This window comes from Homo sapiens, chromosome 2 (assembly GCF_000001405.40).
Source record: "Homo sapiens chromosome 2, GRCh38.p14 Primary Assembly".
Lineage (NCBI taxonomy): Eukaryota > Metazoa > Chordata > Mammalia > Primates > Hominidae > Homo > Homo sapiens.
The window spans coordinates 138,704,929-138,719,748 of record NC_000002.12 but is presented as its reverse complement, the minus strand read 5'-3'; the positions used below and the strand labels follow the sequence as shown (position 1 = coordinate 138,719,748).

At 38.4% G+C, this 14,820-nt stretch overlaps 1 protein-coding gene across 1 annotated transcript in view, besides 1 other annotated feature; it reads left to right on the top strand.

The window, feature by feature from the left end:
- Positions 1-14,820, top strand: part of NXPH2 (neurexophilin 2) — a 111,234-nt gene that overhangs the window by 60,642 nt on the left and 35,772 nt on the right. The gene's annotated exons all lie outside the window — the stretch shown is intronic.
- Positions 7,070-7,159: an enhancer, noted in NCBI's record as "active region_16596". NCBI's record gives its function as "activates an Ori minimal core promoter by ATAC-STARR-seq in GM12878 lymphoblastoid cells {active_cell/tissue: GM12878}" and the evidence as "EXISTENCE:reporter gene assay evidence [ECO:0000049][PMID:35858748]".

Genomic DNA, 14,820 nt, shown 5'->3' with positions numbered 1-14,820 from the left:
AATAATATATTTAAACATTCAAAGTTTTGTGGTTTTTGAGGGGATGAGGTCTTGCCATGTTACCCAGTCTCCAGACTAGTCTCGAACTCCTGGGCTCAAGCGATCTTCCCACCTCAGCCTCCCAAAGTTCTGGGATTACAGGCATGAGCCATAGCTCCCTGCCCATTTAAAGTTTTAAATGAAGAAAGTAACACTATACATTCATATACTTGCTTTTCTTACTTTTTAAGAAAATTACCTTTGTAATTAAAAAGTATGAAAGTTATTTAAAAGTAATATTTACATATTATGTATTATATTTACTTATTACAAACAGTAAAACAATTCAGAAGCTTGAAAAGTAAATTCCGAAAGACTCCTTTCTTCGCCTGTACCCTCAACCTGTAGCTTCTCCTTTCGGATATTTTTAAGTGCATTTACTTATATACATGCACACAGACATATAAAGAATTTTCTTACCTTTATAGGGATGATACTCTATTTTGCAAATTCTTTTTTTTACCTTAAGTATATATAATTGTGGATAATCTTCCACAAAAATATATATAGACATATCTCATTCTTTCCAAAGACCACTCAGTATTCCATTATATAGCTCTACTTTGAGTTATTTAAGTAATCTTTTATTAATAAAGGAGCTTGTTAATCAAAAATGAAAAGCTGTCTTTCTTACTGTATCTCTAATTCTCTCCCCAGGAATAAACATAAACAAGTGTTTTTGTGTTGTAATTTTTCTAGGGTTATCATTACAATTTACATTACATTTTCCTCTTCCTCCCCCACCCCCCAACTTTAGCAAGTAGCTATTGACTTCCAGATTTAGAAATTCTACACTCTAGTGAGACTGTGTCTCCCGTCTCCTGTACTTCCCTTTATCTGCTGTTCTGGGGCTATGATTATGTATTCCATGTGTAGTCTATAGGTTAATTCAAAGCTTTTGAACCAACTTTAAAAAGGCATTAATGGGATTATGCTTTTATAAATATTTACTACAGAACCAAGTTATGCTATTGGATTTATAGAGAATTAAATATATCATTAAGACACTTACCTTTAGCCACTCATAGGATAATGCCCCAGGCATCAAGGTCCAGTGGCTTCTCTTTTCATTTCCTTTTAGTTTTCTCCCTTTTCAAGTCATATTCAGCTGCTACCTTTCTGACTCATAATATATTTCTTTCTCAGTTGTTCTGCTGGACAGCCTTTTTGAGTAATGTTTTTGGAGAGCTTGTGAGGGCAACAAGCTTTCTGAAACTTGTATGATTGAAAATATTACATAAAAATTGTAGTTTCAACATGGAATTCTAAATTCATAGTCATTATCCCAGAGAGGGTTTTGTTTGTTTGTTTGTTTGTTTGACAATCTTTGCTTCTTTGAGTTTTAGTGTCCACTGTTGCTGAAGGGAAATCTGTTGTTAATTCTCCTTCCTTTATAAGTGGCCCCATTTTTTTCTCTCTCTTAGAAATTTTTTAAATTGTCTTTTCACTAATTTCAACAGTATGTAAAATTTAAGTATGTGTCTTTTCCCCATCAAACTCACTTAGCCTTGGTGAGGACTTCAATATGAGTGATCTAATTTTTCTTAAACCTAGGATATTTTCATTTCATTATTTATTATTATTATTCTCTCCTCCATCCTCTTTCCTATCTGTTCTCATCTCTTAGAACTTTTTTTAGTCAGCTACTTAACTTCCTGAACCCATTTTTTATGGTTTTACTTTCTCTTTTATTTCTTATGGCATTTTTGGTTTTGGTTGTTGGAAATTTCTTTGCTTGAGCTTCTAGATCAATAACTTGATTTTCAACTCTATTATAATGTTTGAGAGGTCTAATGACTTTGATTTCAGCAATCTTATTTTAATTTCCAAAAATTTCTTTCTTGACTTGTTTTGCAGTACAATTGCCTTCCTAATCTTTCTAAGGATAATATTTAGAATTTTTAGAGTTGTTTTTGATCCATTTGATTCCTCACATTTCTATTGATAACATTTAGAATTTTTAGGGTGATTTGGGATCCATTTGATTCCTCAAATTTCTTTTGATCTTTTGTTCATATTTCTGAAGCATACAGGTTGCTGCTCTGGTCTGGATGTTTCTGTCTCCCCAAAATTCATACATTGAAATTCTAACTCCCAAGGTGATGGCATTAAGAGGAAGAGGCTTTGGGAGTTGATTAGATCCATCACAAAAGGGTTTAGTGACCTTTTTCCAAGAGAGGTGCTTTTCCCTTTCCACCATGTGAGGATAGAGCAAGAAGGCACCATTTGTGAACCAGAAAACAGGCACTTACTAGATACCAAATCGGCTGGCACTTTGATCATGGATTTTCCAGCTTCCAGAACTGTGAGATGTTTCTGTTGCTTATAAGTTACCTGGTTTATGGTATTTTGTTATAGCCAAAACGGACTAAGACAGTTGCCTTGAGATGCCATATCATCAATACTGTTAAACGTTCTCCAGGTGATTCTCATGTGGGATAAAGCCATAGGAATGTTGCTACAGGGTCATAGGGTAGGTGTATGATTATGTACATTCTTCTTCACCTTGTCTTTGGTCGTTTAATAACATATCCTGCATATTTTTCCTTATCAGTATATAAAAAGCTCCTTCCTTCTTTTTTACAGCTTCATAGCACTCCATTGTGTGATGGATCATTGTTATTTCACTATTTCTCTGTTGATTTGAAAACTGTGAGTTCCAAATATCACACCAAAGAATTCTTTCTTTTAATTCTGTAGTGAATAATCTTATCCATCTGTCATTTCAAACATGTGCAGTTATACCTGCAAGATAAATTCTTGAGAGAGGAATTGCAGGCTCAAAAGTTAAGTGTGTTATTAATTTTGGTAAATACCAACCAATTGCCCTTCAATTTTAAACATGAGGAAGCAGCCCCAGAAAGATGAGGTGATTTGATCATACTTTCTTAACAAGTTTATTCCAGGGTGGGAACTAGAACCATCACCTCAAAACCTTAAACCCAGTATTTTTTCCACTGTGTCATGCCGCTTTTCACTGTGCTTTATGAGCAGAAACAATAGCTACATCAGTCAATTGGGTGGAACCGATCATAAGGGGCTACTCAGGATAACAGGGATAGGTATCTAGAAAAGGACCGAATACCTGTTGTCTTAGTCGTCTCAGGCTGCTGTAACAACAATACCACAAACTGACGGGCTTAAACAACAGATGTTTATTGCTCACAGTTCTGGAAACAACAGATGTTTATTGCTCACAGTTCTGGAGATTGGAAAGTTCGAGATCAAGGTGCCAGCAGATTCAATGTATGGTGAGAGTATTCTTCCTGCTTTGCAGATGGCCGTGTTCTCAATGAGGCCTCACATTGCAGAGAGAGGGAGCTCTAGTCTTTCTCTTTTTATAAGAGCACTAGTTTCACCCTTGGGACTCCACCTTCATGCTCCCATCTAAACCTAGTTTCCTCCCCGAGGCCCGGTCTCCTACTACCATCCATTTTATGGGGATATAAACATGCAGACCATAACATCATGGTTTCAAGAAATAATAAAAAGATATATCCATATGAAGATAATGCAACATAATGTTGCTATTTAAAAAAATGGAGTTCGGTATGCTATGAAGTGTAAGGAAATTTTGGAGAGAGAAATCAGAGTAAGAAAAACTAAAACCAGAAACACCAGAGATAATAGCAGTTTTTCTCAACTCCCAAAGAAGCTTCCAAAGAAACTCCAAGTACAAAGTCAACAAGGACAAAGAAAAAAGTAGATCATCAGGCAATTGCCAATATATGTAAGAATTAACTTTAGAATAGTTGGTCCAGCTATTTCCCTAGCCCTCACCCCACCCCAGGACAGAGAGGCTACTATATAGCTGGCATGGAGAGTTCCTGCCCTTGGTATAAAATTCAAGACCTGTTCTCTGTTGAAGAGGTGGCTGATGAGACTGGGAAGGGATTCTAGTAAACATCCTGGACCTGGGAAGGAAAAGAAATGGAGATTTAGGTGACTCTAGACCTCTAGAGGGAAAATATAAAGGAAACAGCTTTGTCCAGAAGTAGAAACAGGAAAGCCCTCTACCGCCAGAATAAGGATCTCCTTCTTCGGCTATTGTAAGGATTCCCAGCCTCCTGTCTGCTTCTAGTCAGTGTGCCCTCCTGGGAAACCCACCTGTCCACATGCCCCACCAGTGACACAGAGGTGTTCTCCCCTCCAATTCAGAGGAGAAAGCACTTGGTAAACAAACCCTGGTTTATTTACCCTGATAAGCAGGGTTATGTTCACTTTGTTATAATTCACCCTGCTATTGTGATGTTTGTTATATTCAATACATTTATTTAAAAATCTGATGTATGGACACACATTATGACAAATTAAATCTAGAGGAAGGGCTCAAAAAATTCCCTGCAAATAATTATAAGTCGCAGCCAAGGTTGAGAAACTCTACTCTAAATAACTGGACTAAATAGTTGTATGTATCCAGTATAAAATAATCTCTGCTTTTTAAATATTGAGTTGATAGTGAAAAATCAAACTCTAAACTCACTTAATAGATAATAAATATTGTGCCAAGAGAGCTATTAGCTTATAGTCAATTATAGTAAATATCCAGGGATTCAAGTAAAAAAACAAAGTGACTGTAGTGAATCTACAATGAAATAGAATTCTTTTTAGCATGCTCGGATGAGAGTACCTAGAGTTGATAGAACACCAATGCATCCATCACTCATGATTAACCCATATTTTGCTTCAAATTTCACTTCTAAGTTTTACTTTTCCACTTTCCCATTGATGTTCAGGAAATTTACGGTAATGTGTCTACTCATGAAATTCTTTTAGTCATTCTTGCTGAATTATCATCTGTACATTAATGTCATTCATCAGTTCTGGAAAATACATATACACATATTATGCCATTATATGTTATATTATTTGACATGAATTCAAGTTGTTTAGGTACATAGTCTAATTTCTTTCAGGCACTGGACTTTTTGCTCTTGTGTTCTTTTGCATGAATCCGTTGAAACAAATTAGATAATTTGGTATAAGGATATAGTGGAGCAAAGTAATTCAATGAAATTAACACCATTATCCCAGAAGGTGGACTTGGATCTTCAGTACCTTTTTTCTTGGATTTTTTTTTATCAGACCAGTAATAGAAGTGTGTGTTATTTCCAATTTGTAGGGAAGCGAACACAGTCTGCCTGCTTCCTGTCTCTGTGTTAGATAGAGGAGTCCAGCAGTCACTCATTGAATATAACCTTCAAAAAGACTTTAAGGTTCTTCCTAAGGTGTGGAAATTGGAAGTCTTCTAATTAATGAGAAAAGTTACCCCATTTCTAGTAATTCAGAGATATTCAGGATATGAAATTTAGCTTAAAAAGATATATCCATTATTAAGTGGGATATAGGACAGGAGCTTAATAAATATTTGTGGAATTAATGAAAATACAAATAACTATTTTTTAAATAGGGAGCCAAAAATACAAAAATATAACTACTTGTAGGGATCTTATGCTGAGATTTTATTTGCTCTTTTGCTTAGCATGCCCTCTGCCCCTATGTACGCACATACCTACAGCAAGAGAGAAGCAGAGTTAGAAAATAAATTTAATTTATTCTAGTATGAATTTTGAGAACTGAAATAACCAATAATAACCATACAAATGGGCTATTTATTGTATTAGGACATATATTTAAGCTGCTACACTTTTATGACAATAAGAAAAAAGAAAGAAGCTCTTCTTGCTGATTTTTTCTGTTTTGTTTTATTAGTTGTAGTGAAATTTTTTTTTTTTTGCTTTTTTGTTTGTTTCTTTGTTTACATAACTTGTGAGTGGTGCACTGAATAGGAATGTGCCAATAGGAACTAATATTTATCTAGCAAGCAGATAAAAATCAGTATCTGGAGGATTGTTCAGTAATTTACGCTGAAAATAGAAAGGTTTGATAAGGAACACATTGGATTCCCCTGATGAGTACGTTGTGATTTGGTGCGAAACAAAAGGCTGGAGAAGCTCCCCTCTGTCCCTGCTGTCCTGTCGCAGTTCTACTGCCTGGTCCCATGGCCTCATCACAGAACACACATCATGAGGCAGTCTCTGGAGATCCTGAGCAAACAGAGATTTTGCACACCAATTTGCAATTAAAACACACACACACACACACACACACAGAACGTTTTCTACAGTTGACTTTAAGTGCTGTTAAAGCCAGCTTTAGAAAGGGTTTTACATATATCATGTTTTCCTTTCCTATATTCATTTTATTTCTCTCACTGAAATCAGGAGATGAATCCTGAGCACACTGGATAACCTAACACCACGCAGCAAAGCTCTGAGTGAAGTACACTGGGCTTTTATCTTGTCTCCCTTCCTTTGGAAGCTTCTAAAGATGGCTGGGGGACAAATAATCTGTCACTCCCAACGTACAAAGGTCCCTCTTCAGACCGTTTGGGTCAACAACAAATCCTCCTAGAAAATTCAGCATGCTGTCCTGTGACTGCTGAGGTTCAGTGCTTGAATCAAGGGAGGTCAGACCCAAATCCAAAGGGCAGCTGGCAGGAGCCCAGTCGCAGATCCATCTCAGAAGAACCATCGGCAGTGGGGAAGTAGATCCTGAATGGCCTTTCAATTCAGGCTTCTCCCAGAAGGAGGCCCCTTGGGACTTAGCAAGGACTGTTTCTCTATAGTCAATTACTGAAGACCTGGAAGCTTTGGATAATTAATTTAGTTTATTTCTTCATTCAGAAGATTTTCTTGAATAACCAACACTTAAAAATCATGTGAAGACCATCACCAGTGTTAGATATAGCTGAGAGAAGAAAGAATTGGAAGGAATTTATCACAAGTATTTACTAATACAGCCCCTGTTTGCTCCTTTTCTCAATAATATTGGCTGAACACCTGCTGTGTGCTAGGCCGTGTGTGACATAGACCATCGTATAAGGCCTTGGTCTAGTCTTCATGGAGTTTTCCATTCACACATGAAGATAAGAGCTGAACCCAAGTGTTTATAGTGCAGTGGACTTTGTGGTCAGAGGCACAATAGCCAATGCTTTGTGGAACAGTAAAGTAACTCTCAAGAACATAGGAAGGGGGTGAGGGGAAGGAAGCATTGCCTTCTGGGAGTTAAATCAAGCAGGTATACTTAGACATATTTAGTGGTTGAATTTGGTCAGGGGATAAACCAAAGATACTGTGCTGCCACCGAATTTGGGGGAAGCAGAACTGCACTTGAAGGCTCCTTAGTATCCCAGGGTGGGGGGCAATGTTGTGATGATTGTATTGTTGGCCATTCTGAGTAAAACTGAGTCAACATGTGGTCAACCCAGAGAGGACAGAACTCCGAAGTCCAGAAACAGGAAATGATCTTTGGCCTAAGGTTATGAGCAGTTCAGCCTCTGTGACAGAGAAATTCCTGTTTTGACTCATCAAGCCAGCAGTTTGGTTTGATTCCACACTCACTAAAAATTCTGATTCTAAATTGGCTTCTGGTTCAGGCCTATCCACTGGGGAGAGACTGTTTTACTCATGTAATGCACAGACTTCCATCCATGAAGGTTCTAGCTGTTGCTGTAAATTAATTAATTTAGTGGCATTCTGCGATGCACGTGCACACACACACATCAGTTCCATGAGCTGATGTGATGTGTATTTATTCCTGAGAGGCAGTTCTGCCCAGGATGTGCTGCTCAAAGTTAAGTGCCTCAGCCTACTAAACTGAAGATCAGATACTGGCCTTGGTGAATGTCCCAAGGTGCTATGAAACCACTTGGCAGCCAGCCATCTGCCCTCTTCTAGTGACACCCCAAGCTAACTGGTTGCTCTTTAGATGAAACTAAACATAAGCCAAATGGTACAAACTGTGCCAGACCAGCAGAGGATGTTCATTTTACTTCTAGCTAGAGTGATCATGGAAACACTATCCTTAAACAAAACGTAGAAGTTCATTAAGCAAAGAACGGTGTAAATGAGAACCACAAAGGCCATGTCATGAGGCAGACACAAAGGGATGTGCCCAACATGGGCAGTCAGGAGCTGGAGGGGACATGTCTGTTAGGAGATATCATGGAAAAGGTGGACTGGGCTTTTGTGGGAGGCCTGAACTGCTAGAATCATCCTTTTGAATCACTGAGTAGGAACTAAAGAACAATTGATAGGTTTGAGTAAAAGAATCTGCACTGTATATGATACTGCAACCAAAGACGGATTCAATTCAAGTACAATTTAGAGGCAGACACAGGTTTGCAAGCTGTTGTCATGAGATAGCCAAGGCATCAAGTAGGATGGAGGCAAATGGATGAATGAAAGGAAGGTATAAGAGTGACAGGGGCCGGGCGCGGTGGCTCACGCCTGTAATCCCAGCACTTTGGGAGGCTGAGGTGGGTGGATTGCTTGAGGTCAGGAGATCAAGACCAGCCTGACTAACATGGTGAAACCCTGTCTCTACTAAAAATACAAAAATTAGCCGGGCGTGGTGGTGGGTGCCTGTAATCCCAGCTACTCCGGAGGCTGAGGCAGGAGAATCGCTTGAACCTGGGAGATGGAGGTTGCAGTGAGCCAAGATGGCGCCATTGCACTCCAGCCCAGGTGACAGAGCGAGACTCAATCTCAAAAAAAAAAAAAGTGATAGAAATGGGAAGGAAATTCCATTAAAGTGTCCATTAATTAGTGAGCTTTCCTCCTCTGGGTGAGATTTTTAAATAGAATGGTGCAGCGATAACATTTTGCAATATGAGAGTCAAAAGGAGCATCTCCCCTCATTTTAAGTGGGATCCGGCTCCAGGAAGATGGCAGCAAGATGACTGTGAACCAAGGAGCAGGGAGGACATTAGCACAGATGCTGAGTGGCCCAAGGAAGGTCGGGGAGAGACTGAGGAAGTCGGGGAAGCCAGCTTGGGTAAAGTGTTTGGCATGGGTGGTTTAGATGAGTTATGGAGTCAGAGGTGTGTTGGGCTGCTTCAGCAGGGTGGAAAACAGACGGCGAGTGAATCAAGGTTATGTTAGGAGAGTAATGAGGTCCAGAGCATAGAAACAGAAGTCTTAGTGAGGGAAACTAATGGAGAACTGTAGGCCTGAGAGTGGTAAATTATAATAGCTTATAGTAAAATTTATCTCATAGAGTCTAGGGTGGAGGAAGGATGCCAGCTAATCAATAGGCCAGGTAACTTCAAGATAACCTTCATTTGAACTAACTACTCTGCTTGGGTTTAAGAGAAGCTGCAAACTGGAACCCTTGTGTGTTGTTGGTGGGAATGTAAAATAGTGGAGTTGCTGAAAAAAAGTTTGGCGGTTTCTCTAAGAGCTAAACATAGAATTACCATATAACTCAGCAATTCCTCTCCTGGATATATACCCAAAATAATTGAAAACAGGGACTCAAGCAAATACTTTTATACCAATCTTCATTACAGCATTATTCACAATTGCCAAAGGTGGGAACAACCCAAGTATTCATCAAGAGGTGATGAATAAACAAAACGTGGTACATACATACAATTAAATGTTATTTAGCCGTAAAAAGGAATGGAGTTCTGATATATTTACGGCATGGACAAACCTGAAAACATTATGCTAAGTGATACAAGTGAGACACAAAAGGACAAATATTGTATGACTCCACTAACATGAAATATTAAATAATAAGTAAATTCATAGAGACAGGAAGTAAGTCACCAGGGGCTGGGAGGAATGGGAGTTATTGCTTGATGTTTAACAGAGTTCCTTTTTGAAGTGATGGAATAGTTTGAGAAATAGACAGTTGTGATGGTTGCACAATATTGTGAATACAAGTAATGCCACTGAATTGTACACATAAAAGAGGTTAAAATTAGGAAGCAACCAAAATATCCTTCAGTAGGTGAATGGATAAATAAATTGTGGTAAATCCAGGCAATGGAATGTTATTCCACAGGTGAAAGAAATGATTAAACCATGAAAAGACATGGAGAAACTTTAAATGTACAATACTAAGTGAAATACTAAGACACTGATCTGAAAATAGTACTTACTGATTCCAATTAGATGATATTCTGGGCAAGGTAAAACTAGGGAGACAGTAAAAGAATTAGGGGTTGGGGAGAGGACGGGATGAATAGGCAAAGCACAGAGGATTTTTAGGGCAGTGAAACTATTTAGTATGCTCCTATAATGGTGGGTACATGTCATTATACATTTGTCAAAACCCATAGGATTCAGCAAGAGTGAACCCTAACATAAACATGGACTTGAGGTGGTAGTTATGTGTCAATGTAGGATTGATTGTAACAAATGCACCACACTGGTGGGGGGAAAGGTGGTAATGGGGCAGCTGTGGGTAGGGAGGGGGGCAGGGGTATATGGGAAATCTCTGTACTTGGCTGCTAATTTTGCTGTGAACTCAAAACTGCTCTAAAAAATAAAGTCTGTTAATAATGGTTAAGATGACAAATTTTGTTATCTCTATTTCACCAAAATAAAATAAAATTATAAAAAGAGAAACTGTGAAGGCTGCTGTAGGATTTAGGATGGGAGAGAAAGTGCAGTGTGAGCCTCCCCTGGGCAGCTGCCCCTGTTTCCCTGAGAGGATAGAAGGGGCTGTTGTACCGTCTCGAGTGGAGCCAGCACCCCAGCATCCCCCAGCGACTCTCAGAGTCAGCCTTGTGGGACCTAAATAGCTTCCTCGTTGATTGGAATTAGCTCCATTGCCAGTCCCTGCTGCTAGAATACATGTGTGGACCAGGGGAGTATTTGAAGTGCTGGTTTCTGAAGCTTTTTGTTTGGTAGAATGCCAAAGAACACAGCTTTTGCTGTCATAATTGGTCTAAATTTAAATGCTCACTTGTTTTTGTTTCAGACTGGTTTGTGTGTGCATGGACACAGCTTAAGTTTGTGGGTATAGAGTATATTTTGTCAACATGGAGAGAGTGAATCAGAGCTTTTGTTGTCTAAATCAGCCCTTGTTTTCAGTCCCGATGTCCCTATGCTTTGATAAATGTCCTCCAGCCTGTGAGTCAAGGAGAGGTTGGAATCCAACTACTTAATTGGAGGTTTTCCAGTTCACAGTAGTTAACTTTTCTGCAACTTGTCTCCTTAATTTAGAACAACATTCAAAGAATAATAAGCACTATACCTCACATTAGCTTGGCCTATTTCTAGACTGCTATATAGAGTATTCAGAACTAAAAGACATTTGTTGTCTTTCAGGAGTTTTCAGTATGATTGTAGAGGAAAAAGAAAACTCTGGAAATGTATTAGCAATGTTCACTCAAATTGCTAAATGAGCTGGTTTAATAGTTTTCAGTGAATGCAGCATTAATTTGCATATTAAATCACATTACATCTTCTTCCATTAATGAAATTATTTTTAGATTTAGGCAATCAATACAGTCCTTTGCAATATTAAAATCCTGATGTACAAAATAGTGCCAGCTCAATTGTATGTTCAGATACTTTCTAAAACATCTTAATTCATTGATACTCATTCTTCTCTCAAGTTCAAGTTCATGGCCGGGGAGATAGTTGTGAAGTGGGCAGCGTGTGTGACGGCTGAGGAAAGTAGCAGCTGTCTTGTTGTTATTGTTGTTTTTCCAGATCGGCTTTCCTGTTGTCCCATGCCAGAAAAACAATGAAATTCTGTGATTTAAACACATTTATTAAATGCCCTGTGTAGTAGGGTAAGTGCAGTTATGGACAAGACAAGCACAGTGCCACACATGAGGCTCTATAAGAGGAGACAGCCCTGGCATCTTGGGACAGTCAGATTTGTGACTGCCATCACAAATTATTTCAGTAAGAGAGAAATGGAGGGAGTATCTGTAGTAATCAGCTTGACTGTCCAGGGAGTCTTCTGACAAGGTCAGATTTTAAAAGGGCAGACACAAGTCTTACTTATTAAATTAGCTAATGACATGAGGCTTAGAGAGAGAGGGACCTATTGGCTGACAGGATTCAAAAGGATCTCAGGCTAGAATGATGGGCCAAATCCACAGAGAAGAAAGTTACAAGGGATAATTTTAAGACCTGGCACTTGGATACAAAAAGAACACCACCACCAGAGGATAAAGGATATATGGTTAGCAAGTATGGAAAAGTTTTAGTTGAAAATAAACTAAAGTTGTGAGTCATCAATATGGCAAAAGCTTTCCAAATGTGCATAAGCTTCCCAGAATGCTTATGCAACCCTAGACTGTATTAATAGACTGTGGTATTTAGTGAGAGGAAAGTGATAGCATAAAGCATTTGGAGGCAGTACACACAGATGTCAAGCAAATGCTCTTTGGGGTCAGACAACCCAGTTTTAGATCCCAGCTCCAACTCACAGTGTAGTAGAAGCTTTTCTCCCCCCCAGATCAGGCCACAAGTGATTCATAAAAATATCCAACATACATGAAACTTTTAAACTTAAATGCTGAAGGTTCATTCTTTCACAAATTATTTGATGTAGGATCAAACCTTTTCCTTTGAGGGCATATCAAGTACACATTGGTATGGCCATATCTGGATTTTGTGGCTGGCCTTTGTTCTCATTTGTTTGATATGTGTTCTGATTGGTTATAACAATATGTGAATATCATCCTTCAGAATATGAATCCCCTGACTGAAGTTTGTCATTTAAATAAAACTCACCCATATTGAATCATCTAAGAAGATTCCTAGCTGTTGCTTCTTCTTCTTGCTCTTTTTTTTTTTTTTTTTTGTCATGGGGCAAGTACTTAAAGTCATCTTCCAATCAATCTAAATCTTTCTAGAATTTTTACATTTTTCCTTTTATCTCTTAATAGTTTTCTTGCTCTCATTTATTGAACAGCAATTTTTTAAGAGACCCATCTGCAACAAGTTTCTCTAAGCATTCACCTTAACTTTTTTTTCTTTATTTTAGTTTATTTTAAAGACAGGGTCTCACGGTGTTACCCAGGCTGGAATGCAATGGTGCAATCATAGCTCACTATAGCCTCATCCACCTGGGCTCAAGTCATCTTCCAGCCTCAGCCTCCTGAGTAGGTGGGACTTCAGGTACACACTACCACACCTGCCTACTTAAAAAAAAAATGAAGTCTTTCTATGTTGCCCAGGCTGTTCTCAAACTCCTGACTTCAAGCAATCTTCCCGCTTTGGCCTCCAAAAGTGCTGGGATTACAGGCGTGAACCACGACACCTGGCCTTAATTTTCATATAAAGAACAACTTTTTTCTCATTCATATTCATCAGCCTATCTAATAAATACTTTATTAAGTTACGTAATTAAAATGACAACTATAACTGGCATAAACAGGATGGGGACAAACAGCTGTCTCACATAAAATTCAAAATAATTGGATAGATCCTAGAGAACAGCCCACCAGCTGTGTGCATTCGGGATACTTGGGCATCAGCAAGATCCAATGGAGAACATTGGTTAATCTGGCCAATTGGTTAACATCCTTAAACAACTTCTTAACTTTTCTAGAGCATGTCATTTAATATAGACTACAGCAGCTCTGCTACTTTCTTGCTTACACTGCCAACTTAATTCCTTAAGCATCAGTTCCCTCAGCTGTAAAATAAGGATAGTAGAATAATACCTGCCTCTCAGGGTTGTTGTGAGGTCTAAATGAGATAACAGGCACAGAGAAAATTCTTAGTAAATATTTGTTATCTTTTTATTAATAGACATAGTATGTTCTGTAATGGTCAGACCACAGGCATAGATTGTTTTCCCTTAAAACACTCTGATACATAAAACTGTAAACACATACAGAGCAGAAATCCTGGTTTTCAACTTTGCATCCTTCTCACATTGTAAGGATTTAATAAATGTTTCTGGAATTCATTGATCATATTACATTTTTATGGGGAATATGAAGGAACAGGATCACAATCAGAGTGAAGTCACCAGGATGGTTATGAGAATTGAAGAATGGTTTTTGATTAAAAAGTGGAGGCATTTGGTCCGAAGAGGGGCTTACTCAGTAATACAAACATCCTCAGCTATATGAATGTTTATTTTATGAAGAATCACTGAGCTTGTTCTGTAAGACTCTAGAAAGAGAGAGAGAACAAGGACCACTGAATAAAGTTCTAGGCAGACAGATTTCAGCTTAGTAGAAACAAGAATTTTAACAGAGAATTTAAAGATGAAATAGGTTCCCTTGGGAGATAGTTAGCTCCCTGTCACACCACGTTCAAAGACAGGCAGGATGACCAACTTGGCAGTGATAGTGTAGAATAAATTCAGGGAATTCATTTAGATAATGGGAACTTCCCTCAAATTGTAATGGCAGCACCAAAATCAGTTACTGAGTAAAATCTACTAAGAGGGATTAGACAGAAGACACTCTGGGTCTTTAGACTGCCAAAATAAGCATAGTACTACATGTTATTGTTTCATCTTTACTATAAAAAGCTTTCTTTTTTAAAAGAATGATTATTTATTGTCTCAAAATGCCTCAGACATGACTTAAAATATACGTATATTTAATATGAGAATTCCATATATCAAATCAAGAAGGAAAAAAAGGATCTTAATGTTTATTTTTAATAATATTATTGGCCAGGCATGGTGGCTGATGCCTGTAATCTCAACACTTTGAGAGGCCATGATGGGAAGATTGCTTGAGGCCAGGAGTTGGAGACCAGCCTGAGCAACGTATCGAGACTCCATCTCTACAAAAAAATTTTTTTAAAAGACCAAGTGTGGTGGCTCACGCCTGTTATCCCAACACTTTGGGAGGCCGAGGCAGGCAGATCACCTGAGGTCAGGAGTTTGAGACCAGCCTGGCCAACATGGTGAAACCCTGTCTCTACTAAAAACATTCAAAAATTAGCCAGGCATAGTGGCGGACACCTGTAATCTCAGCCACTTGGGAAGTTGAGGCAGGAGAAT